This window comes from Homo sapiens, chromosome 3, assembly GCF_000001405.40.
Source record: "Homo sapiens chromosome 3, GRCh38.p14 Primary Assembly".
Lineage (NCBI taxonomy): Eukaryota > Metazoa > Chordata > Mammalia > Primates > Hominidae > Homo > Homo sapiens.
Genome location: NC_000003.12, coordinates 99,775,298 through 99,802,346, shown reverse-complemented (window position 1 = coordinate 99,802,346; position 27,049 = coordinate 99,775,298). Strand labels below are relative to the sequence as shown.

General features: G+C 40.2%; 1 protein-coding gene across 2 annotated transcripts in view, besides 1 other annotated feature; it reads right to left on the bottom strand.

Moving 5' to 3' along the window:
• Positions 1 to 3,129: 3,129 nt before the first annotated feature.
• COL8A1 (collagen type VIII alpha 1 chain) overlaps positions 3,130 to 27,049 on the bottom strand; it is a 160,624-nt gene continuing 136,704 nt past the window's right edge. For both annotated transcript variants that reach the window (NM_001850.5, NM_020351.4), the window contains 2 exons: positions 11,337 to 11,667; positions 3,130 to 8,117 (listed from right to left, as the gene is read on the bottom strand). In NM_001850.5, the coding sequence (NP_001841.2) occupies positions 6,211 to 8,117; positions 11,337 to 11,664 (2,235 nt within the window). In that variant the 5' untranslated portion in view covers positions 11,665 to 11,667 and the 3' untranslated portion in view covers positions 3,130 to 6,210. The remainder of the gene's footprint in view (positions 8,118 to 11,336; positions 11,668 to 27,049) is intronic.
• Positions 7,177 to 8,176: an enhancer, noted in NCBI's record as "H3K4me1 hESC enhancer chr3:99513015-99514014 (GRCh37/hg19 assembly coordinates)". NCBI's record gives its function as "activates a minimal SCP1, AML or CMV promoter by ChIP-STARR-seq in naive H9 embryonic stem cells {active_cell/tissue: H9 hESC(naive)}" and the evidence as "EXISTENCE:reporter gene assay evidence [ECO:0000049][PMID:30033119]".

Genomic DNA, 27,049 nt, shown 5'->3' with positions numbered 1-27,049 from the left:
CATGTGAAGACATAGATAAATCATGGCCATCTGTGAGCCAAGGAGAGAGGCCTCAGAAGAAACCAACCCTGCTGACACCTTGGTCTTGAACTTCTAGCCCCAGGACTGTGATAAAGTGTGTTATTTAAGCCTACCCAGTCTGTGACACTTTGTTAATGGTAGCCCTAGCAAACTAAAAAACCCACCATCAGGTCAGATTCAACGAGTCTATAAACAAACTGGTGTCTTCCCCTGTATCCTGCCTGGCATGGGTTCTACTAATGGCCTACCCATTTCTGTTGATGGCACCATCCCTGTTTTCCAAGTTTGCCAATGGGAGGAAACTGCCATTTGGGGCCAAGTTTCCTTCTTTTGGGGCCAAGCTTCCTTCTGTCTTATAAGGCCATCTAGTATTGTCCCCAAGTCCAATTCAGTCTTTCAGCTAGCTCTTCAGTTTTTCCATTCTTCATCATCCCAGTTCTGAGGCCCTGAAACAGCTTCATTGTCATGCAGCCCTTAAACCTTGACACCTGAACCTACCTGCTTCTACCTCCTTACTTGCAAGGTCTATTTAGGGTCCTTCACCATCACCCAACATTTCACTTCTGCATAAAAGATGGCCTGGTCTTTTAATTGGTTTTACTACGTATAACCTGCCTTCTTCAGTGTCAGCTTCATAGCATCGTTGAAATAATTTTTCCAAAATACCTATTTTATGCCATTTTCCCACTTAAGGACCTATAGTATCTTATTGCATATTAAAAATAGAAATGTCTCTTCCTTGTATGTAAAGCACTGTGTCACTTGACCTTCCTTTAGTTACTAAATTAATTTCCTTTACTAGTCCTTGGGTAGATGCTCTGATCTAGTCAGACCATTTCCCTGAGCTCAACTTCCTTTCCTCCTGCCACTCAAGACACATACACGTACACGCCTAGTTTTTCTCCTCTTGATTAGAGGAGGAGAAGCTGTTTCTCTTGGGATACTTTCATGATCCCTCCATCCAAATTCTACATTTCTTTAAAAGTCAGCTCTCCAAAAAGCAGTTGAAATTTTTATCGCATAGTTAGCTTTTACACAATCTTGAATACCTGAGCTAGAAGAGAGTTTCCTGCCATTCAGTCTAACCTCACATCCAGTTTAGGACTCCCTGCCCCCACCCCTTACCCCACAGCATTCTTCAGAGATTCATTCTTTCCTCATCCTGGTATTAGACCACTACTCTATGATGGGCTGTGGATGAAAAAATGAAAGAACTAGCCTGCTCACAAGAAGCTTATACTATAATAGGAAAGACAAGGGTTCAGTTACAAAGCAGACAAAGTGAAGGGACAGAGGAAAGTATGAGGCAGGTTGGTGATGTGGGGGAGAAAATGACCCTGAAGGGTGAGGAGTTTACCCAGCAGACAGGTCAGAGAAGGTATTCCCTGGAAGAGGGCAGCATGGAACTGTCTTTCTCTTTCTGAATTTCTTTAGCACGTATGAATCCAGTCAACATCACACCACCCTGCTCTGTGCAGGTTCTGCTCTTGGACATCAATTTTCTGTTTAACAAACATCTTGATATCCTCCAACCAGAAGATACTTTTTTTTTTTTTTTTTTTTTACAGAGTCTTGCTCTGTCGCCAGGCTGGAGTGCAGTGGATCCATCTTGGCTCACTGCAACCTCTGCCTCCTGGGTTCAAGCGATTCTCCTGCCTCAGCCTCCTGAGTAACTGGGACTACAGGTGCGCACCACCACACCCAGCTAATTTTTGTATTTTTAGTAGAGATGGGGTTGGGGTTTCACCAGGTTGGCCAGGATGGTCTCGATCTCTTGACCTCGTGATCTGCCCACCTCAGCCTCCCAAAGTGCTGGGATTATAGGTGTGAGCCACCACGCCTGGCCCAGAAGATAATTTTTTAAGGAGAAGAGATGTTTTCTCTCCTTTTGTATGCCTCACATTGCTTAGTAGTATCAGGCACCAAGTAGGGGCTACCTTATTTGTGTTCTGTTTTAATATAAAGGGGTACTATACACCCATTGTAAGATGTATTTTGATTTCCTTTATTTAGTAACAGTAATGATAGATTTGCCCTGCTCTTCAGAATTCCAAATTCTAACCATTTATTCTTCCTTGCCTCCATTTCCTCTATCTGTTCTTCCATTCACTTTTGTGACAACACTCTATGCCTGTAAGATGACTGTGAGGGAAGTGTATTTGGCTGTGAAATAAAACCAAACCAACTGGGCTGTATGGGAATGGAAGTTGTAGTCTTGCGTTTCCAGCCTGATGGTTTAAACAAGTAAGTTAACCAGCCATAGACTGGTGGTACATCTTGCTTATTGAATGATTTGAATAATCCCTTTATAATATTTTAGACATGGTAAGTTATGATCATTCTGGGATTGGTAAGTCATCACAAAATAATTCTTTCTTCTCAGGGTCTTACTAAGACCCTCAGGCTCTTCAAACGGGTCTGCTTCTTCCCTTTACCTCCACTCACCACTATCTCCCCTCAAAATATTTGGCTTTTTTGTGGCAGAGTGAAATAGAATGGAGTATTTGAAGATTGGTCTCTTGTGGGAAAAGAGAAGTCCGTGGCCATTTTTTCTTTTTTGATGGAAGTGGAAGATGCAGCAGCTAATTATTCCCTAATATTGATTCTCTCTTCTCCCATACTACTAGAACCCCTGATTTTTAGCTGGGCATATGGTTACATAGACTATTCAATTTCCCACACTTCCTTACAGCTTCTTGTGGTCACGTGACTAAATTTGGAGCCACGGGATGTGGGAGACAGTGATCCAAGCAGCTGCTAGGTTGAGTCCTTTAAGACAAAAAGCATGTCCTGTCCTTCCTGCTTTGTTCATCCTCCCCGGGGATAGAATGTGACTGATGGTTAGTATCCTGGACCATGGAGATGAGGGCAACACCCTTGATGTAGAAGAGCAATAAGATGGAAGGAGCCTGGGGCTGTGATTGGAATTACCATGTGAGTCCTAGACTGCTTATCCTAGGAGCTCTTAAGTCAAAGAGGAATAAATTGTTCTGTATAAGCTATGCTTATTTTAGGTCTCTATTTCAGCAGCTAATTCATGAGAGTACGAATTTAAAAATACTTGTGAGGTTCAGTGTCAACTGAATGATACGAACAAGATGAGAAACATACTTTTAAAGATATTTAATGATGTTTTTCAAATCAGTACAAAAATTTAAATACAAAAATGATTTGCTATTGACAAGTCTCAAATCTGTCATGGGAACTCAAACAAGTTACCAGTCTGTTCACCGTTCATTGTATTCTATAAAATATTTGATAACAGTCACCCACTACAGACATTCTTTTCCCCTGTGGGATGTCATACTGCATTAAAACTCTGTATTTACATAACAATAATATGAGTTTGGTCCATTTCACATGGAAGAATTCTGGTTAATTTTGAACTAAATAGGGATTATAGCACAATCCCTAGACTTTAGAACACGTGGTTGTTTCATCTGCTTTTACACTAATATGTTAACATGTTGTGCAGCACTCAAAAGGGAAATACAGGCACATAGATAATTATTTAAAACTCTTTTTTAAATTAAATGGAGTATCATTTAGGTCTGAGATTAGCACCATTGTAGAATGCACAGTATTTGGCATAGATGTTGCTCCTCTTCTATCTAAAAGTTAGAAACCTATGTCTGATAATACACATACACACACATGCGCACGCATACACACACGTGCGCTCACGCGCACACACACACACACACACATATATATATATATATAGGCAATTGAGTGACAACCAATAAATAAGTTGGAAGATATTTTGAAAAGTGAAATTTGGTTTTAACTAAAAAGATAATTTCTCTCTTTCTTGGTGGGAATTAAAAGCCCATACATGTACAGATAAATACAATTTTACAAATCACCTGATCTGACTTGCTTTTAAACCATTTCAATGTGGCTGTTTAGCAGAAGGAGCCCAATGGATCCATGCTGCCCACCATAGTCATCAGCCCAAAACCAGTATCCTCAAGAACAACCCAAAGTATATTTGGCCACATAGATGCTGTCTGCTTTGAAAACAAAGGTTGTGGAGGACATCTTTTTGTTGGGAAAAGATTGTTGTATAATTAGTAGTGACAAGAACCCCTGTGGTAATGGACTAATTTCTCTTCTTAAAAATTGAGAAGAAATGGTGCTTGTATACTATATAGGGAAATGAGATATTGGCCAAGAGAAGAATTTTTGTGATGGTAATAATGATTCAGATTTGACAAAGACACATTTCCATGTGTTTTCATACCGTATTTATTTGTGTATTTTTCCATCTATATCTATCCCCTTAACTCATGGTTTTATTTTTGACAAAAATATACAAGATTCCACCACCATAACCCCACATTATTGCTCCAAGTGATAGAGTCAGCAGCAGGCTAATAGCAGGCTCGAAATGGGTCTTTGGTGTTTGGAGACCAGATTAGAATGCCCAAAGCAGTTAGTATGTGCCCAAGCAAAAACCTGGAAAAATATTTATTTCTGCTTTTCAGACTTGTATTGGCCTTTGATTTGTGCCGAGTACAGGATGACATTAAAAACACAGGCTCTTGTTGCCCTTTGACATTCTACATAGCCCTTCCACAGTCCGCTTCTAAGGAAACAGTTCTTTTCCTATACTTTTACTACCTACACCCAGAAGCAGCACATCTGTTTTTAAATTCGAAATTTCAGAATTATTTTTTCAAATATTAATTTTTCTATGTAATTCTGAAACTCCCCCCTCACCAATTATGGCTTGGATTTTGAAAGCTGACTTTGGCCGGGCACGGTGGCTCATGCCTGTAATCCCAGCACTTTGGAAGGCTGAGGCAGGTGCATCACTTGAGGCCAGGAGTTTGAGACCAGCCTGGCCAACATGGCGAAAACCCATCTTTACTAAATATACAAAAATTAGCCAGGCATGGTGGCGCAAGACAGTAGTCCCAGTACTCGGGAGGCTGAGACAGGACAATTGCTTGAACCTAGGAGGTAGAGGTTGCAGTAAGCCAAGATCGTGCTACTGCACTCCAGCCTGGGTGACAGAGTAAGACTCCATCTCAAAAAAAAAAGAAAAAAATTGACTTTGGAACCTCAGATTACATATCAGTTTGCATACATGCTAAACAGAGAAATGTCCTCAAAATTCAGTTACTAAAAATTACTGATATCTCCATGATTAGAACCACACTGTGGTTGTGTGTGTAGTCAAAGGAGGAGAATTTTTAATGCTATATAAGCATAACTGATAACTGCTATTACAAATAAATATTCCACAAATTTGGAAAGTTATTAGAGGAAGAATTTTTTTTCCTTGTAATTTCCAGGTGTTTATATTAGTTGGGCCATAGTGAAAATTACATGGAGGAAAGAAAATAGGAAAATAAGTCACAGAAAAAGAAAATCAAAACAAATAGAAACTCTGGGGAACAAGTGAGTTAATTACTGCTCATGTCTCCCATCCGGTTCTCTAGCTCCTTGAGGGTTACTGTCTAATGCTCCACAAAAGTGCCTTACCCAGTGCTTGGTACAGAGAAGGCACTGAATAAATTCACAAAGGCCGATTGGTTCACCCATTCTTTTAGAGACAACAGACACGCAATTCTGACGAGGACTCCTGTTACTAAAAGACACAGCCTCTGATACAAGAGAGATATCCCTTTGACTAAAGCATTACCAGGGTCCCCAGGGCCCCCTCCCACTGGGGCGGTAACACTACGGGTCTCCCCACCATATATTCCATGTCAAAGTATCTACACAAATACAGAGGAAATTAAGCAAGTAAATACGGTATGTAATTGTTATCATTTGTATTTCTTTAAGGCATATTTATAAATATTTTAAAGTAAACAATATGAGTGAGTGCCTTTCATTAGCTATGATCTTTCATACTGATATATTTTGACTGATCTGAATAAGCAGGTTACTGTGGAAGCATATAACATAAAACAGCTAATATGATTCCAGTGGGTACAACCAAGTGTCAGTACTTGATACATAACTCTATCCCATCATTCGCAATTACAGGCTGCTGTGTGGAGTATTAAACATGCATCTTAGTTTTTATTTGTACACAATGGTCCAAATTTTCACTTACATATAACTTTCCAACTGTGTAAGTGTTTTGAAGCAATTATGTTTTTCATTTGGATTTTTTGGTGTGTCATTTTCTTCTATAAAATCTCTTTCTTTTCTTTGTTTTTTGTTTTTTTGTTTTTACATGGGATACAATAAATATCCTGAAAAGGAGGAGTGGACATACTGCCCGGCATACAGTCCTGCAGCCTGTTCTGAGGGCATCTGGAGGAACACCCGGTCTCCGGGCCTGAGCAGCAGCACTGCACTCCCAGATGCCTGGTCCAGGAAGCCCTTTTTGTACTCGTCGTACGTGTACATCACGGGCTCGTTGTTCTTGAATAGAGCAACCCACACGTTGCCCCCCTTGCAGTGAACGTGGTATGCAAAGTAGTAGACACCAGGGACCTCACAGGTGAAGATGCCTGTCTGCGGGTTGTAGTTCTGTCTGCCGTTATACAGCAGTTTGTTAAACTTCACTGGGGCCCCCACCGGTGGGAAAGGTGCGGTTAGCTCGGCGGTAAATGCAGGCATCTCATAGGCTGGCCCTCCATTCTTGCCTTTCTTAGCCCCGTAGGCATGGGGGGGTTTCACGCCATCAATTCCCAGCCCCATATCTGGCAGATACTCTCCCTGGGGTGGTGGTGTAGGGGGCATCACAGCTGGGGGTCCTGGAGGTCCTGGAGGGCCTGGGGGTCCTGGAAGGCCAGGCTGGCCTTGAGGACCAAGGGCACCAGGCTTCCCTGGGGGGCCATGAAGTCCTGCCACTCCGGGTTTCCCTATACCAGGGAACCCAGGGGGCCCTGGGAGGCCCGGCTCCCCTTTGGGGCCTGGAATCCCAGGTGGTCCAATGGGGCCACTAGGGCCCCCAATCCCTGGGATACCTGGGGGGCCCTGTAAACCCTGATCCCCTGGGATTCCTGGCTCTCCCTTAGGTCCGAGAAGCCCTGGAACACCAGGGAGTCCTGGTACACCTTTTTGCCCAGCTTCCCCCTTGGGCCCTATGGGACCTGGCAAACCCCTCATGCCAGGAGGCCCTACTTCACCAAGGAAACCTGGCTTTCCTGGGAAGCCTTGAAGCCCTGGCTCACCCTTGGGACCTGGTGGCCCCTGTGGCCCTACAATCCCACCTTCTCCTTTGGGTCCAGGAAAACCAATAGCACCTGGAGGGCCCATAGGACCTGGGATTCCAGGCAGGCCTGGCTCTCCTGGAGGACCCCCTATTCCTGGGGCACCTATTGGTCCTTTCTCCCCTCTTGGTCCAAGAGCCCCAGGAACACCTCCCATGCCCCGGTCACCTTTGGGTCCTGGGAAGCCTGGTTTCCCAATCCCTGGAAGGCCTGGGGGTCCTGGTAGCCCTGGCAGTCCTTGCTCCCCTTTGCCACCTGGAAATCCTGGCTGGCCTGGGATCCCATCCTGGCCTGGCTTTCCAATTCCGGGTATCCCAGGAGGTCCTTGAACCCCCGGTACCCCAATAGGGCCTTGTGGCCCAGGTTCTCCTGGAGCCCCTGGCTTTCCCAGGGGGCCCTGGGGCCCAGGGAAGCCTGTCACTCCTGGTTTGCCCACTCCTGGCAGTCCAACAGGGCCGGGAGGGCCGTGCATCCCTGGAGGCCCCTTTACACCTGGCGCACCTGGCATCCCGAAGCCCTTGTCTCCTTTAGGACCCCGAAGGCCTTGAGGTCCTGGTAGTCCTTTGGGTCCTCGATCACCCTTTGGTCCTGGTTGCCCTGGTAACCCTGGCCCACCTGGCTTCCCAATGCCAGGAAGTCCATGAGGCCCTGGAGGTCCTTGTGGTCCTGGGATCCCCATAGGCCCAATTTCCCCTTTCTGTCCAATTTCTCCTTTTGCCCCAGGCATGCCCATGGCTCCTGGCTTCCCTGGCATTCCAGGCATACCTGGCTTTCCAACTCCTGGATATCCCTGTGGCCCTGGTTTTCCTTTAATTCCAGGTATCCCATGACCTGGCAAACCAGGGGGCCCAGGTGGTCCTCTTGGGCCAGGCTCTCCACGGGGACCTTGTTCCCCTCGTAAACTGGCTAATGGTATTTCTACTGGGAAGAGAAGAGAGAGAAGGGGTATGGGGGGAGAGAGAGAGATTGATTAGTAGATTGTCTCTCACATCAATGAAGTACTGACAACCATTATTTAGTTCTGACACATTTGCCTAATACTTATCAAGAGAAAAGACTAGGAATAATATGCTCATCTTCTAGACCTTAAAAATCAGGCCTGGCATGGTGGCTCGTGCCTGTAATCCTACAACTTTGGGAGGCCCAGGCAGATGCATCACCTGAAGTCAGGAGTTCGAGACCAGCTTGGCCAACACAGTGAAACCGCGTCTCTACTAAAAATACAAAAATTAGCCGGGTGTGGTGGCACATGCCTGTAGTCCCAGCTACTTGGGAGGCTGAGGCAGGAGAATCACTTGAACCCAGGAGGCAGAGGTTGCAGTGAGCTGAGATCACACCACTGCACTCCAGCCTGGGTGAAAGAGCGAAACTCCATCTCCAAAAGGAAAAAAATAAATAAATAAGAAAGAAAAATCAAGCTGACAATTTTTTTTTATGTATTTGAGGTATTTTTTTGATAACTGATATGTGAAGCTGCTTGTATCAACATTGGTTAAGTAAAGAAGCTAAAAAGTAATGAAGAAGAAACATTTTTCCAAGTATAAAACTTGGAGATATTATGGTGTGTTTATTATAGTGAATTTGGAAGATTCAAAGATGTATAAAGAAAAATCAAATTTGCCTATAAGCCCACTACTCAGAGATAACCACTTAACATGTATATATATTTTCATCTCATTTGTTCTATCTGTGTGTGTGTGTGTGTGTGTGTATTTTAAACAATATTGGAGTTGTTATCCAAATTATAGTTGTATTTTATTTATGGGGTACAAAGTGATACTATGATTCATGAATACAATGTGGAATAATTAAATCAAGCTAAATATATCTATCACTTCAAATACTTATTTTTATCTCGTGAGAAATTTGAAATTTACTCTTTCAGTGATTTTGAAGTGTGTAATACATTATTATTAACTATACTCGCTATTCTATGCAATAGATATCCAAAAAACAACTTATTTCTCCTGCCTAACTGAGGCTTTAAACCTTTCATCATCATCTCTCCATTCTCTCCCTCCTGCCCCACCCCAAGGCCTCTGGTAACCACCATTCTCCTCTGGGTTTCTATGAGTTCGATTGTTTTAGATTCCACATTTAAGAGAGAATATGCAGGATTTTTCTTCCTGTGCCTGGCAAAGTTTTTAAATATAATAATTTATGGCCAAGATATTTCCTCTTATGCTTAAATACAGTATGATGTGAAATAGGAAAGAATAGAGTTATTTTTTGTGTGGTTCAATAACATCTTTCCACATCTCTCCTTTAGAATTAGTAGATTTGCTTAATTTCTTGAAGGTGCTGTGGGATTTCCTAAGCCTCAAATATTAGTTCATTAATTTAACAAATAATTTCTCATATACAAATCTGGCTTTTAAGTAGGAGAGATGAATAAGATATTTTAGAATGATAAACAGTATGGATGAAGTCGAGAGCTTGACTTAGGAACAAGAAGCTCTGCTTATCTTTCTGGTCTTGGCGTGAGATTGTGACTGGGTCCCTTAAGCTGTCAGCATCTCTGCTTGCCTATCTGTACAGCAAGAATAAGAATAATACAGCCACACTACAAGATTAGAGAATAGATGTGAAAGGTGTCACCGTTTCTCAAATTGTTATTGAAATACACAGCACGTGCTGTTATAATGAACATGCTGTGCCTTTCAGATGAACACAACTCTGGATCTCCCATGCTGCTGGGACTAATGGATAACATGGAGAAATGAAATATATGGTCCCAATATCTTCTTGGCATAATACTTATGTCACTAGTAGCACCTTAATCCTGACCATTGTACTTTTTGCTGAGCTACTGTCAGAGAATAAAATACAAACAGAGAACTCATTTCGAGATATGAGGATCCATCAGAGTAAGTACAAGAAGTGCCAAAGGCAAGGCAAGCCATTCAATAAAGGAAGGAAAAGAAATGTCTGAGATAATCTTCTAAGTATAATACTAGCTCCTAAAGAGAAGAAAGTCAGGAATACTTTCTTTACATGAATAGATATGATTATAGTACTATTCAGGCATGCTATTTCTAACCAGCGAATTGTGTAGTTACTGTATTGAGGAGTTATCTGGGGAAGAGTAGGAGAGATGAATCAGGAATCCCTGGTGTCTAGCACAGAGCCTGGAACACACTCTGTTCTTACTGAGGATTTGTTGAATGAGCAGTTGTAGCAACTCCAATTTCCTATGGTGCTTTAGCATTTACTCAGCACTTTACTTACTATGTATGTCACTGATTCTCTCAACAATCTTATTTTACAAATGAAGAAAAATAGGCTCTGAAAGGTCAAATGACTAGGTCTCTCTCATTTCTGGCATCCAGGCATCTAGGCCTCTAAGTTCCAAATCCAGTAGTTCTCCAGAGGTGGAGCTTCCTGCCATTGTAGGGACTAGTGGGACTGGCTCCACTTCCTCAAAGGTAATTGCTGCTCTGATGCAGCAAGTACTAGGTTTCTGAGAACTCCAGACAAACCAAATGAATTTATCGTCAAGTGTCTGTCACACTGAGGGGCATTTTGTTGGTGCTAAATAAATACGCCAAGAAAGCAACAGGAGAGATTTTCAGGTGTCATCCCTAGATGCAGTCTATACTCTTAGTTTCCTTCTGTTGATCTATTGATTGACATATGTAATTAGAGTAGTATTAAGAACACTTGCACCTGTCTAATACTTAGTTCGCAAAATGCTTTCCTGTGACTTTTCTTTTAACACAGCAGGTCCTTACAACATTGCTCTCTTAGTTCAGAAGACTGACTTGTCACCTTTCTTTTTTTTCACTGCTTTAGCTCCCAGCATCTGGCCCAGAGCCTGACACAAATAGGTGCTCACTATAGATAGTTGCTGAATGTTTGAATAAATAAACAATAAGGGGATAGACTATTTGTGATTTAATATATTTTATTTCATCTGATGCTAGTTAAAATAATAAAGCAAAACATAAATGGTAGTCTTATCTGTGTCTTTAAGGCTTGAAGTTTTCAAGAATATGGTTAGAACACAGTAGGCATTTTAAAAATGCCAGTAACAAATTCTAAAACTAAAGCTTCTAAAATTTATCTTCCCCCTCTGATCCCATAATTTAGAGATTTGGAAAGCTGTTGTTTTATAACAGCCTGGGAGTATGATGTTACCTTTGCCTTTCTTGGGTACGGCTTCCTTGCCCATTCTTGGCGCCGGTTGAATTTCCTTCATATATTGGGGTAGGTGTGGATACTCTTTGCCATACTGCAAGTGGGGCATCTCCTTGCCCATGGCAAGGCCATCTTTGGCCAAAGGCATGTGAGGTACTTGCTGACCCAGGGGCTGGTATTGTGGAATTTGTGGTGGCATCTGAGGAGGAATTTGAGGTGGCAGCGGCTTGATCCCATAGTAGGCACCAGCCTGAATGAGCCTGATGGAACTCAGGGAAATGGTAAGCAGCACTCCCAGCAGCTGCAGAGGGCCAGGCAGCACAGCCATCACCTGTGGGAGGAACCAATGCACCAACTTGGTGAAACTCTGCAAGGCCAAGTGACTTGAGTTTATTTAGAGATAGAATGGGGAAAAAAAAGGGAAACAGTCTTTAACATCAGAACTTCATGATAGAAGTCAAATGAAAAGGAAAATGCTACTTTCTATAGAAAACAAACAAACAAAAAATAGAGAATAGTGGAATCTGTCAAATAAAGGCAATTGGTAGGAACATAGACTATGGGAGAGACTACTGGTTGTCCCCCATATCGATTCTGCCTTTCTTGCCCTGTTTTCCCGTCTTCACCTGGGAATAGAGCAGCCCAGAATGAAGACATTTCAGCCAGGCAGGGCCATTTCAGCCATTCTTGCCAATTGTGTATAGTTGTCATGGGTGTACCTTCCAGGAAGAATCCTAAAAAGGAGTGGATATGTCTTCCCCTTCCTCCTTCCTTCTGGCTGGATTGCTGATATGTTACTGGAAACAGACCACACATCTTGGACCATGAGGCGAATGCAGTGCACAGAGAATGATAAAACGAGCTAGAATAAACCTCAGTCCTGGTTAGGCTTTGTTAATAAGTGCCAAAATTATATTCTAAATGGAAACAGTTGATAATTTATAGGCTTTATGCTACAGTAGAGATTTTTCATCTGCCAGATGAGGGCTGCTTTGATGTAGTCACAAATAAATGTAAATGTAAAGAGCAAACAGGAACAAAGCCTGCAGAAGTCTTCTGAGTTGAAGAGAAAATGCTTCTTCATGTAATAGTATGAAATATTTTAAAAATCACTATCATAATTATGCACCTTTATTTCTTGTATTAAAATACTATGAATTCATTAGTTTAGAAATTGGTTAATTGGACCATTAAAGTCTATCTTTGTCCTTTTGTGAAAGAAAGTTTACAAAGCAAGAGTTGTATGAATAAGAGGGAGATGTTTAACTATTAATAAGAATACGCTGCTTCTAAGCCCATTAATAGCACTCTTTACAAATTAGCAGTAAACAGAATTAATATAAATGGGGCTTATCTGTTTATAAAAACCAGCTTGAAAAGACCTCTGTTTGGAAACGCCCTAGGCTTAAAACCAGACAGCCCAGAGAAGTGCATTGTTGGCAAATGCACACTAGAGGGCAAGTGTGATACACACTTAGGTCTGTTCAATATTCTGCCTGCCCACTCCCTGCCCTCTGTAGTTCTAATGCTGGGCATACACGAACTCCATGCTCACAATGTATAAAGGGACTTAATGAAAATTTGAATCTTAAGGGACATGTCATCATAATGCTGGAGAGAGAGAGAGAGAAGTGGCAAATTTCTCACAATTTTTAATGTAAGTATCTTCTGGAAAACTTTGAAGAAACTTCTGTCTGTAAATAATTCAATTTCCATCTTCTTGAGAGTTGTTTTCTTTGCTTTTGCCTTACTTAATTCTGGATCATAGTTTTCTACTTCTTAGAAAATGTGCGTTGATTTTGCAATATCCTATTCCAGGGTAATGCCAAGAGTGTATACAGGCTACAAAAGGATTGGTTAATAAAACACCTAATAAAATATTTAAAATGAATCCCTATCACAAAATTCAAGCTTTACAATCTTTCTAAATACACTAACAAATCATTTTTTCCCTGGAAAAAATGAAGAAACAGTTGCTAGGCCCATTTTGGATTACTAAGATGAATATAATATGGCTGGTGGGCCTTACCATCAAGGAGTTTGTACTCTTAGTGGGGGTGACAGATGTGTAAACTGTTATTGAGTAGCAAAGGATATCTAGTAAAAAGTAAATTTTCCTCCTACTTCTGTTCTCCAGTATCTAAAATCCCTTATGTTTGAAGCAACAATTTTTCCTCATATTTTTCAGATAGTCTGTGGATATGCACATATCATATACATCCCTTTCAAACATAAATTGCAGTATACTATACACACTTCTATTTTTTGCTTTTTTCACTCAAAGATCAGTACTTATTCCTTGTCTAGTTATGTGCATCTAAACAAATTTCTTTAAGTTCTTCATTTATTAAAATATGACTTGGATGTTCCCTTAAGTCTTTTCTAGCTCTAACATTCAATGTCTGTAAGACAGTTACTAGAGATCTGAAAGTGTTAATCCATACCAGAAATGTGTGGTAATATCTGGTAATGTATAAGCTGGTACTTAATTCTACTTTTGGGGATGAATGAATTTAATTATGGAACCCCAGACTTGTGGTGAAGTCTTTAATAATAAGCTAGCATGTTTGGCCCTTCAGCCTTCCATCAATTCAGTGGATATGTTGGATTATACTTCATAATCTTTAAACCAGGACAATCTAATGAAATACTGGAAAACTGGAAGGAGATGAAATGCCTGGAAGAATACCAGTTGAATTATTTCCTCTCATAGGCTCAGCATATCTGTCCTGTAAACCAGCTCTTTAGGTCTGCCTTCTGCCATTTCTCTGGCTCTTTATCTAAATAAACTTTGTTCAGTTTTAACGTGAATATTTATATAAGGGCCCTGGTTAGAATTTACTGCTTTACTTATTCCTACTAATTTTTCTCCTGTCCCTGAGGATATTTTTGGTGGTCAAAGTGGTATGGGGGTTCTCCCAAATCACTCAAAAGAACATCAAATTTGGGTAACTTTATACAAACACCTGGCAAGAAAGAAGGAGCCTTGGAATTTTTGCTGGGAAGAAATTGTGATAGTGGGTTTTCATGCCTCTCTTTCTGAGAATGTGGGACACAATAATATTGTGAGTTCTCCTTAATATTTTCTTTGATTTCTATTTGTTTGACAGCTGGTGTGTGTGTGTGTGGGTGTGGGTGTGTGTGTGTGTGTGTATTTGTGTTCTTGAACATAAGCATATCTAATGTGTGTGAACATTGAATCTTTGCCAGCCAGGCTGGCTTAGTGATGGGTGTCATGTCATATGACAAAAGCACTGTCAAAGAAGTCAAAAGACTTTTATTTAAGTTTTGGCTCTGCCATTCTTCATGCCTATGACCTTGGACAAGTCCTTTATCTTCACTAAGCCTCAGTTTTCTTACCTGTAAAATAGCAATTATAATCTCTGCCCATCCCTCAGAGCTGTTCAGGGGTACAAATGATAATATGAATTCTTCATAAGCCAAAAAGGACTATTCAGATTTAAGTTATTATTAATGGAGTGTGACCAGAAAGACAAATCAAAACCAACTAAAATGTCAAAGATTTTCAAAGAAAGATACTAGCAAAGTAAATGTGAGGTTAACTGCAATAATGATAACCTAACATGAATAAAACAGTAATGGCCATTAAAATGCACTTGTTAAAAATGATTTAGAAAAAGAACAGCTGAACCAAGGCAGTCATTCATTCATGTGTCAAGAATAACCAATCCTAGATACTTTGAACAGCCCTAAATGGCTTCCTATATTTGAGCAGGGCTGCAGAGAATTTCAGATTCCTCATATGACCTGTAATGTACATAACAGAGTAATGTGATACATATATTAACAGAATAATGTGATAGATATTTTAAATGCTCATCAGCATTCTATTTGTACGTTTATCCTCATTGGCTTACTATACAGAAGAATGTTTAAATATTTAATCTGTTGGTCCTTGCCTTGAATCCAACTTTCCCTTTCACATAGGCTAACACAGCATGTCTTTGTGTATGTATGTGTGTCTCTGTTGTGTGTGGTGTGTATAAGCCTCTCTAATCAGTTCCTGGGCTGGTCCTCTGTGCCTCCTACTTGTACAAGATTTGTAGTCTCTCAAGACCCTCAGATTTGCCACCCTAAAGCAAGGGAAAGTCAGGCAGAATCCTCTTCCAGTGTTCACCAGAATTGCCTTCCTGGTTTTTCCATGCCTCTCAAAGAAAATTCTCTCTTGATTGCATTTCTCAGGGCAATTCATTCATTAGATATACCTATTGAACACCTATTGAACACTCAGAACAGGAAATGTTCTGAGTATTGGAGATACAGTGGTGAATTAGAGAGTGGAGGTATTATCTTATTGAACTCACAGTCTAGTGTGGAGAGACAGGTGATAAATGTTAAAAATACATTTTATAATTTGAGATTTGAGTGCTTTGAAAAAGCAATGCAGGTGTCTTAGTCATTAGGGCTGCTGTAGCAAAATACCATAGGTTGAGTGGTTTATAAAGAACAGCAATTTCTCAGTGTTCATGAGGCTGGGAAGTTCAAGATCAAGGTGCCAGCAGATTGGTTGTCTAGTGAAGACCCACTTTCTGGTTCATAGATGACACCATTTTGCTGTATCCTTACATGATAAAAGGGGCAAGGGAGCTCTCTGGAGTCTCTTTTATATGAGCACTAATTCTGTTCATGAGGACTTTGCACTCATGATCTAATTATCTCCCATAGGCCCCACCTCCTAATACCATCACTTTCGGAGGGGGGTGTCATATTTTAACATATGAATTTGGGGACATAAACATTCAATGTATAGCAGCAGGATAAAGGGTTCAATAATGACAGAGTGGAAGAGCTCCGATGTTTTGGAAAGAACGGTAGGGAATGACATCTGAGGAAGTAAATTTTGGATAGAGATGTGAAGGTTGAGAGATGTATCTTTCTTAAGACAACGTATGGGGAAAAAAGGAAAGAGTCCTGTTTACTACAATGTTAGTTGAAGGTACCTTTCACTAATATAGACTCATTTCAAAAGTATGTTCTTCATCCATGCCTGACCTCATTTTGAATTCTTTATTTACGATATTCTTTTTTCCTGGAAGATAATTATTTTCCTTTTATTTCTCTGTAGATTTCAGTCCTACCATATAGTTTTCTCTGGTTGTCATAACAAAGTATCTCAGACTGGGTGGCTCAATAGAAATTAATTTTCTCACAGTTCTAGAGACATTGAAGTTCAAGATCAAGATATTGGCAGAGTTGGATTCTGCTGGAGCCTCTCGCCTTGGCTTGTAGATGGCAGTCACCTCCCTGCGTCTTCACACAGTCTTTCTTCCATGTGTCTGTGTCCTAATTGCCTCTTCTTATTTACCAGCCACACTGGTCACCCTAGTGACCTCATTTTAACTTAATTTCCTCTTTAAAGGCCCTATTTTCAAATATGCTTAAATTCTGAGGTACTTGAGGTTCAACATATGCATTCTGGGGGATGCAACTCAGCCCATAACACCTTCTTTCCTCCAGACCAGTTCTATTCCTGCCTCCTCTGTGAAGCCTTCCCCACCTTCTCCATCATTGTTATTCTCCTAAAGTTTAATACAAAGTCAAATGTAATTGTAACCAAGCTTATGTTTTTTTCTTGTTGTTTTTTGTCCATTAGACTAAACATGATTGTAAGCTTTCTGAGGACAAGAATAATTTGACTTCTCAATATTTACTGATGGATCCTCATCATCAAAAGTCTTAGTGTGTTGATAGGGGCTTTCAAAAATACCTAATTCAGCTTCACTCCCCATTGAAAATTCTACCTACAGAGGTTGTTGACAGAAAGCCCTCATATTTTTGACTTGGATATTAATAATGATGGGAACATTTAAAAAGCAGCTCAGTATTTTGTACAATTTTGTTGCTTTTTAAATTATCTAAACAACTTTTAGAGAGACTTACCTTTCTTGATTCACATATGGAGGTGCACATGCAGTTTACTATTAGTGGTGGAGGAAGGGAGGGCATGTTGAGAAAATGAATCCCAAAACTTGGTCATAACATAAAAGATGGGCACATGACCTTTTATTGTTGTGCTAAGATCATTTTAAATAAGCCCACCTTAGGGTCATCTGATCAAGGATATGTACCTTTGTTGCAAAATTGATTAGTATTAAGAGATATTAATGACTCTAACTATATTGATCTATGACCCTCAGGTAAGTAACTCAGCATTATCTCAACATTGTTTTTTATTTACTGGAAAAAAGTCCCAGGTACTATGTAGTCATGAGGTGCATAATGATGCTTCAGTCAGCAAAGGACCATATTTATACTAGTGGTCCCATGAGAATATAATGGAGCTGAAAAATTCCTGTCACCTAGTGAGGTCTTAGCCATCATAATGACTGTGGTGCAATGCATTATCTTTTCTATGTTTAGATATATTTAGATACACAAATACTTACCATTGTGTTACAGTTGCCTACAGCACTCAGTACAGTAACATGCTGTATAAGTTTGTAGCTTAGGATTAATAGGCTATGCCATGTAGCCAAGGTGTGTAGCAAGTGGTACCATCTAGGTTTGTGTAAGTACACTCCATGATGTTTGTACAATGACAAAATCAGTTAATGGTGCATCTCTCAGAACATATTCCTGTTGTTAAATGACACATAACTATACTTCAAATACTTTATATCATTAATCCCATATCCATTTCTTAGGTCTTTTTTGACATTACAGTTTCTAATTGATAATATCCCCATCCTATATTTATATGATTGATTATTTTACTGAAATTCAAGACTGTATACAGTTATTCCTGTTACATTCCTAGTCAAAAATTGAAAATTGTTATTTAATTATGTGTAGGAGCTGCCATCCAATATATTAGCTAACAAAGTTCCAGCTTTGTTTTACAAGGTACAGATCCATCTAACTGTACAGTCAGTTTTCTCCATCTTGTCTTCCAAATATCAAGGCCCTCCTTTTGCATGAAATAAGGAATTCTTCTCTTACATAAGACAAGCTCTTAGACAGGCTTTCTTACTCTTTGGTTTTCTGACTAGGAATACAAGCTTAAAGTATTCATTAAGTCACAAAGCCACTGGCAAGGTAAATATGCTGAGATGGAGCCTGATATAGTTTGGCTCTGTGGCCCCACCGAAATCTCATCTCAAATTGTAATCCCCATATGTCAAGGGAGGGACCTAGAGAGAGGTGATTGGATCATGGGAGTGGATTACCCTGTGCTATTCTCATGATAGTGAGTTCTCATGAGATCTGATGGTTTAAAAGTGTTTGGCAGATCCCCCCAAACCCCGCACCTTGCGCGCACGTGCTCTCTCTCTCCTGCTACCTTGTGAAGAAAGTTCTTGCTTCTCCTTCTCCTTCCATCATGATTATAAGTTTCTTGAGGCCTCCCCAGCCATGTGGAACTGTGAGTCAATTAAACCTCCTTTCTTTATAAATTACCCAGTCTCAGGTAGTTCTTTATAGCAGTGTGAAAATGGACTAATAGCCCAAATAAATAAGCCTGTCAGATTCTGGTCAATCAATCACATGGAGGCAGTGGGCAAGACCATCCAATGAACATTTACTGGTTTTGGTCAATCTGCTCATTTACATCTACTGGGATGGCTATAAATGTAAAACAGCCTAAATTATATGCTTCACTAACAAATTCTGAATTCTGTAATTAAGAGCAGCCAATCATCCCCATGTACTAGCTATAGGCAGATAATGACCTCATGGGACCAACGAAACTTGAGAAGTCAATTAGGTTGTGCCCCCAGCGCTAGAAATGAACCACACACATAATGCCTCTGAAATGAGTGGCCAACCACCACATTCCAAAGGTTCTCCAGAGGAGATTTTACAACATTCCCTAGTAACCAATTGTAGGATTTCACATTAGATTTCCTAATATCTAATCCGAATCTCTTCTGCCGAACTGTAAGTTCATTGCCTTTTTTCCACTCTCAAAGGAGTTGGGAAACATCTGGAGAATATTTTTCTTAAAATAATAGCTCACGTATTTGAAGTTTGCAATTAATTTTTTTTTTGTTTCTCTAACTGGAATAGTGTCAGCTGCTAAACAGTTTATAAAACACTTGGGAAAACCCCTAAAAAGAAATTCTAAAGTAGAATATATATTTTTTCTTTCCTTAATATGAAAGCATCATTGCTTTCAGAGCAGAAAATACCTAAGTTTTAGTTCGGACCCAAGTAAGTCACCTATTCTGACTAGGCATTAGTTCCCTCATTTGCAGAATGAGAACATTAGCTATATGACTTTGAGGTCCCTTCTACTTCTAAAGTTTTTTGTAATTGTGAATGTGAAGAACATATCCACACTTATAAATAAATAATGTCAGGGGCCGGGTGCGGTGGCTCACGCTGGTAATCCTAGCACTTTGAGAGGCTGAGGCGGGCGGATCACCTGAGGTCAGGTGTTCGAGACCAGCCAGGCCAACATGGCAAAACCCTGTCTCTACTAAAAATACAAAAATTAGCCGGGCATGGTGGCACATGCCTGTAATCCCAGCTATTCGGGAGGCTGAGGCAGGAGAATTGCTTGAACCCAGGAGGTGGAGGTTGCAGTGAGCTGAGATGATGCCACTGCACTCCATCCTGGGCAACAGAGCGAGACTCCATCTCAAACATAAATAAATAAATAATAATAATAATTTTAGGAACTTAGGTACTCAAGCCTTTGTATGTCAGAAAGTTAGATCAATCTCATACTTGCAGTTACTTTTCAATATTGCACTCTCCCTTCTTACAGTTGGCGATGGAATAATGATGGAGAGTTTGTACACCCCCTACCCCCCTTAAATATTCCTCTGGTCAAATAAGCTATACTTGTCCAGAAACCAAAGGAAGAAATAAGAAACGTGGTTTAGGGACAATAATGATAATAATCCATGGTTTTTTTTTCTTACCACATTCAAAGGTTGAATACAAATGTGAAGCTTACTGAGAAACCTTTAAAAAGTGGCTATAAAAGATAAAAACTTCATACAATGTGTGTGCTCAAAAATTCCTGCAGTCATTCAGCAAATATTGATGTAGGTTTCCAGTCATAAGAATGACAAGTACAAAGTATGCACATTGGAAAGGGGAAATTCGTGGTTAATGAGTGTGACATAGTCATGTTTTAGGAACAACAACAATTTTGTAAGAAAAATGGAAGATCTAAAATCCAGAGGCAGCTCTACAGTAAAGTAGGGCATTGGTAGGGCTCTGCAAGAATAAGGTCCTTGCCATTCCGTGGACCTGGCGATACACAGCAAGGTGAGTTCCTTCTTAGTATGGCTCTAGAAGGACTGCAGAACACTGTTACTTACATGAACAGCTTTCTGTTCATGTGCTAGTACATGCACTAGTACAGTTTGTGTAGCCAACACAATGTAAAATAAGTGTTTTAAGGCCTTTTGCAAGGGAGAGATGTGGGGAAATTTCATCTAATGTAATCCATTAAAGTGGACATCGTAAAAATGTTTATTTAGAGCACACAACTATAATGTATTACATAAAATATAAATTTTATAGTACATTTCTTGGGGATCCAATTGTTGAAGTTTTGTTTAGCTAAGGTTATTTTGAATCATATAACCCTGAATGACTTGATATTAAAAGTTAAGCCAAAGTTAAGTTTCTATCTTACATGGGGAGAATATTAAATCATATCAATAGCACTTGGAAAATAAAAATAATTAATCAATGTTTTCTAAAATTGGTTCCTCCTACCCCCTCACCCACCACCACACACAAAGACACCATTCAGTCAGAATGGCAATCCTACTAAAGTTGCAATATTTAGTCCTGACAATTTCTGAATTATAAAAGAACTAAAACATCTTGACAATTTCTTGGTCAGTGAAAATGTGGATTTGTTCTTTCCTTGGTGCATGGTTCAGGAGTAGCAGAAATCATTCCACAGGACTGTTCCCAACAATGAATTTAAACTGAAAAACATTTAGTTCTAAACCTGGGGCTCAGCCTAAAATACTCAATTGTGATAAATCGTCAGCCACAGAGAGGGCAGTCTCTAAAATCCACCACTTTTCAACCACAGCCCCATCTAGATAATTAGCCTGCGTGGTAACATCCTGCCCTTTGAACAAAGGCAAAGCTCGGAGAGCAACCAAACCACAGCTATCTTGGTATTGGAAATTCCATTTATTTAAGGGGTGGAATTTATTTTGAGGGATAGAGAGATGGATGTGGTGTCTGGGAGGAAAAATCATAAGGTTTTCACAGTTAATCCACTGAACATTTTTCAAAGAAAAATGGAAGTGGAGAAAGGAAAGGGCAGAGTATTATGTAACAGATGCCAGGTCTTCAGGATATATCAGTTAAGGAGGCTGAGAGTGTAAAGGACTTTTCTTTTTATGAGCAAAACTCATTATAAGGCACCAGAACTTACAAGAACATATGGAATTTCGTTGATAAACATGGATCACAAATGTTATTTCTTAGGACTTAGAGTGTGAGTAGGGCACTGAGCTGGAGATGGGACACTCAGAGTCTTCTCTGTAAACTTCTCTATCATGATATCCTTGTAAACCTTTCAGGGCCTCCTTTACTAAACTGTAAAATGAAGGGAGTGAATTAGATGGGGTTTGGGGGTTGTAGAAGCCCAGTGCCTAAAGGAAGTAGCGAGGGGCATGAATGAGTCCAGCTGGCTGACTAGAGTTTGTGATGAAGTTAGCAAGAGCAGAAAGTATGAGCTAAATTGCCTGAATTAAATCCTGATTCCATCACTTATTAGCTGTGTAATCTTAAGCAAGTTACTTAACCTGTCTGTGCCTTGGTTTCTTTTTGATAAATTGCTGCTGATGATAACATTATCTGTCTTATGAGGTTGTTGAGAAGATTAAGGGAATTAATACAATAAAGTGCTTACAACAGTGTCTAATATAGATACTAAGCACTTTATAAGTGTTAGCTATTATTTAAATTAAAAAAAAGAAAACAGGGGTGGTGGTGGAGGAGGAGCAGTGGTAATAATAGATGGGATCTTGAGCACACGTTCCGTGACACTTTGCTTCACTGCAGTCTCATCTGGAAGAATTTGTAAGGTAATGGTTTTTGTTTTCACACTGCTCCAGACCTGTTTCGAAAACTAGGCTGACCAATTGTCCCCTGGCTCAATGTTCTTGAGATCGATGATAACTTTTACTCATTTTCAGGATGCTTGTAAGATTCTATTTATACCTATGTTAAAGGTCTTAGGCTTAGCTTGACCTGAATGCAGGATCATGGAGGCATTTTTCTAAATCCCCAGTCTGAGTATGCAATTTAAGACTTCTCATTGCAAGGAAAAATCTCTGAAGTTCTCTTTGTCTGAAGAAAGGCAAGGTAAAGACAGTTTCTAATAAGTGAGTAACAAATATTATATCTGCTTGCCCACTTCAGTGCGGCGCGTCTCCTACCTGTTAGCCACATGGAAACACTAGTTCAAAGGCTGGATCTCGTCCTGCTCCCTTTCCCCCAGAAAACTGGCCACTCTGAGGAGCCTTCTTTGTATTGACTGCAAAGGGCTTTGGCTTTGAAATTCAGAGAACTGAAGACATTTCTGCCAGGTGATAGCAGCAGGTTGCCCTTGTGGGAGTGACTACAGAATTTAGGCTATCTTTTACTGCTGAAGGAAGTAAAATCCACAAGTAATACATATATAAACCTTTAGGTCAGCAAAATCATCAGCTTACAATCACTTTTTTAGCTTTATCTTTCCATGCTGTTTTGGGGGACTTGAATAATAATATTGCTACAACAAACATTTATTTATTGTTTACCATATTTAAACAGTTATGTCTAAAAAATTCATTCCTTACCCATAGACCTCTACATAATTTTGTGTATGAAAAAACACAGACTTAATTCAGTATATACTTCTTTTTATACATAGTGAAAAGTAGTATCCTCACATCTAAAATGCCAAATAAATCTCAAACAATATTTAGCCATAGGCATTTGTTGAAATACAAAAGGTTAATTTCCCCCTAAGTGAAGCAAATCTGTAATGCATTTTATTTTGAAAAACTAATTCTTGGTGATAAATTCTAGAAGCTGGTTTGGGGAGGGACATGCCATGTAACAGCTCACTCAAGTGTCTGGGGGAATAGAATCAAACCTTTATCTTTGGGAATTCTCTTTGCACTTAGTTCATAACTGTGCAGAAAGTAGTCTTGAGAAATGCTTGTCAAATGGCACCATTTTCATCCTGCCTACCCCTTTTCTAAGTGTTGAAATACCATCTTGGTAGTATGATGACTGAGAGAGCACCCGAACACTGGATCGATGTTACTCTTCCCCATGCCTACTGTTTTCATTCTTACTCTCCTGATTTTGTGTGCTGAGGTCTCCTGCCAGCTTACAAGAATGGAAAATCCTATATAATAGCCATTCTTCCTTAGAAATTAATAAAGAGTGCCTTTTTTTTTTTATTTTAAAAGCCCTGTAAAGAATGATGAAGGGTTGACCGATGGTAAAATATTCTTGAGATCAGTGATAACTTTTACTCATTTTCAGGATACTTGTAAGATTCTCTTTATACCTATGATAAATTTCTTAGGCTTAGCTTGAGCTGAATGACAAGATCGTAGAGGCATTTTTCTAAATCTCCAGTCTGAATATGCAATTTAAGACTTCTCATTGCAAGGAAAAAGCTCTGAAGTTCTCTCTCTCTCTACAAAAGTAACCTCTAAGACCCATTTCCTTGTTCGTAAAACCAAGATTGTTGGACTAAGTGACCCCAGTGTTACTTTTAGGTCTAAAAACTCACTGTCGTTGGCCCTCCCCATCTTAGTTATTTTTGTTGTTGTTGTTGTCTTTAATCATGCCAGGGACTGGACAGAGTCAGGCAGTAGGCTATTGGAGTCGAGTATTAACATGAAATGGGATAGGTGTTGAGAAAAAGGAGGGGAGATGAGCATTTTATTATTTTATTATTTCATATTCATGTGAACTCTTCAACAGCACTTTGCAAAGTTCCACAATTCTTTTCTCTGTGATAGTCTGTTTTGTGGGCCACATCCTTGCCATGAATTTCTGTCTCTTGCTGTGGAAACCAGCCAAGGATACATTATTGACCACCTGCTCACTTTCTTACACAAGATGTCTCCCCAGACTTATTTTCTTTGCTTTCCTCTCCTGCTGGTTTATAGCTTTCCCTTATGTAGCAATAAAACTCTTTGAGAGTTCTCTTCAGGATGAATTAATGCCACTTAAGTGTATTTCCGTTAGCTGCCCTTTGATGGTTCTGTTTAAAAATAAAGGGAGAATTGGGGCAGCTTGGTTCTTATTGAAATTTTCCTTCGTTTTGCTTTAAAGTTACCACTCCTCAGAAACAGTTACACTCCAAGAGAGCTTTGTTAACACTAGAAAAACGTCTGGGAAATATTGTCAGAAGACAAACTTACCATCTTTCAGTAATTTTTTTTCCCATTGGAAAGATATTTACACTATAAAGAGACCCAGCTCAGTCTGTGTGAGCTTTCCTTGTATTCCTTTAAATACCAGAAAGTGTGTCTGAATTCCAGAGGAGCAGAATGCCATCTTGTTCTCCACCCTAATAGCAAACAGATTAAGGATTGGTTGTCATGATTCCAGTTCAACTTTGTGCAGTCTGCAATTTATTTTACTTTCCCCATCTTTTATATTTTATTCATCCATCTGAATCTCACAGTTCTAACTCTGAGAGCTGGGAAATGTGGTGTCTGTCCTGAGCTCGCCACCAGCCTCTGTGACTCAGCTTCTATAGGTTTCTGGCTTCTCTGCTGTAAAACGGTAATAGAATCTGGGTATTGAGGAAAAGATTCCCCCAAGACAGGCACTACTCTCTAGTGGAGTATTTTTCTCAAAGGCATTCAAACCAGAGCAACTCCATCTTGAATAGGGGCTGAGTGAAATAAGGCTGAGACCTACTGGGCTGCATTCCCAGGAGGTTAAGGCATTCTTAGTCACAGGATGAGATAGGAGACCGGCACAAGATACAGGTCACAAAGATGTTGCTGATAAAACAGGTTGTGGTGAAGAAGCTGGCCAAAATCCACCAAAACCAAGATGGTGATGAAAGTGCCCTCTGGCCCTCCTCTCTGCTCGTTACATGCTAGTTATAATGCATTAGCATGATAAAGGACACTCCCACGAGCACCATGAGTTTACAAATGCCATGGCAATTTCAGAAAGTTACACTATACGGTCTAAAAAGGGGAGGAACCCTCAGTTCTGGGAATTGCCTACCCCTTTCCCAGAAAACTCATGAATCCACCCCTTGTTTAGCATATAATCAAGAAACAATTATAAGTATTCTTAGCTAAGCAGCCCAAGCTGCTGCACTGCCTATGGAGTAGCCATTCTTTTATTCCTTTACTTTCTTAATAAACTTGCTTTCACTTTATGGGTTTTCCTCAAATTCTTTCTTGTGTGAGATCCAAGAAACCTCTCTTGGGGTCTGGATTGGGACCCCTTTCCGGTAACATTTTCATTTATTCCTAATTTTTTTTGCTTACAAAGTGAAACTAACCAGGGGACATTCAGTGAAGTTTGGGGCAGTGTTGATGACCCATTCCCCTGAGCTCATGACCACACACCACTTTAGATTTCTTGTTTATCCCATTCAACAAACATTTTTGAACTACCATGCTAGGAGCTGTAGAGGATTCAGGCACAACTTAAAGGTCACTTCTGCCTCAATGTCAATCCAAGGCAAAGACAGACATGAAAAAAAATACAAAGAACCCAGTCCTGCTTCCTTTCCTTATCAGACTTTCTGTTTTTTCCCCTTTTCTCTTTTACCTGTGGTTTCCCTGATTCTTTGCCCTTTCCCAGGTTTCTGAGTCCCATCTGGTGCTTACAATCTCATCAGATCACTTTGAACTTGAAACACAGTAAAGACTAATGTCCTTCAGAGGCCACAGTGGGACACTGAATCAAAATCATCTTCTTCCTCACTGGTTCAGGGGCCAACTTCTTGTAAGCAAGAAGGAAATGCCAATGTGATATAAGTAGGGTGGCATTAAAACTCAAAATACCTCCTCCATAGGTCTGCTGTGTGCCTGAAATTTCTATTAAAGTTCCAGAATTGTAAGCAAACAAAATAAGGAATAAATGAAAATAGTCCACTAGATGGTAGTGCCTCTTTTGGAGGGATCTTTTCCTCAATACCCAGATTTTGTGACTATCTTGCAGCAGAAAAGCCAGAAGCCTACAGAAGCTAAGTGACTTACCCACAGTCCAAAGATTTGTATGACAGATGATTGATCTATAATGGAGAACAGGACCCAAGGAACTGGGACTGAGGAAATTTAGGAGTATTGGGCCTGGGACAGTCTGGGAGGTATAGGTGGATTGCCCTGGCTGGGAATAGGTAGAGAGTAACATGGAGGTACAAGGTAACAGGAACCCTAGAGAAGCCTAGCCTCATCACAAAGCCTCTCTCACAGTTTCTGGGAAGAGAGGCTGGCCATCATGGCACGATTAATTTGTGTCTATCACATCACCACTTAGAGACAAGAGTTAATGTATTCAAGAGGAATCTCCTGCAGCCTGGCCTCCCAGGAAAGGAACTGACCTCCACCAAAGCTCCACGGAAACTGGCTACAGTTTACGCATAAGACAAAAAATCCTGGTCATTGGCAAGGCTTGGACCCCAGCCCTCTTTTCCCATATCTTGCCAAAAGAGGGTCTCGTGCTTCCCAAACATGCACATGGATGGGGCAAATCCTGCCACTAGCCCACCATGTTAAATAGCTAAGTTATAA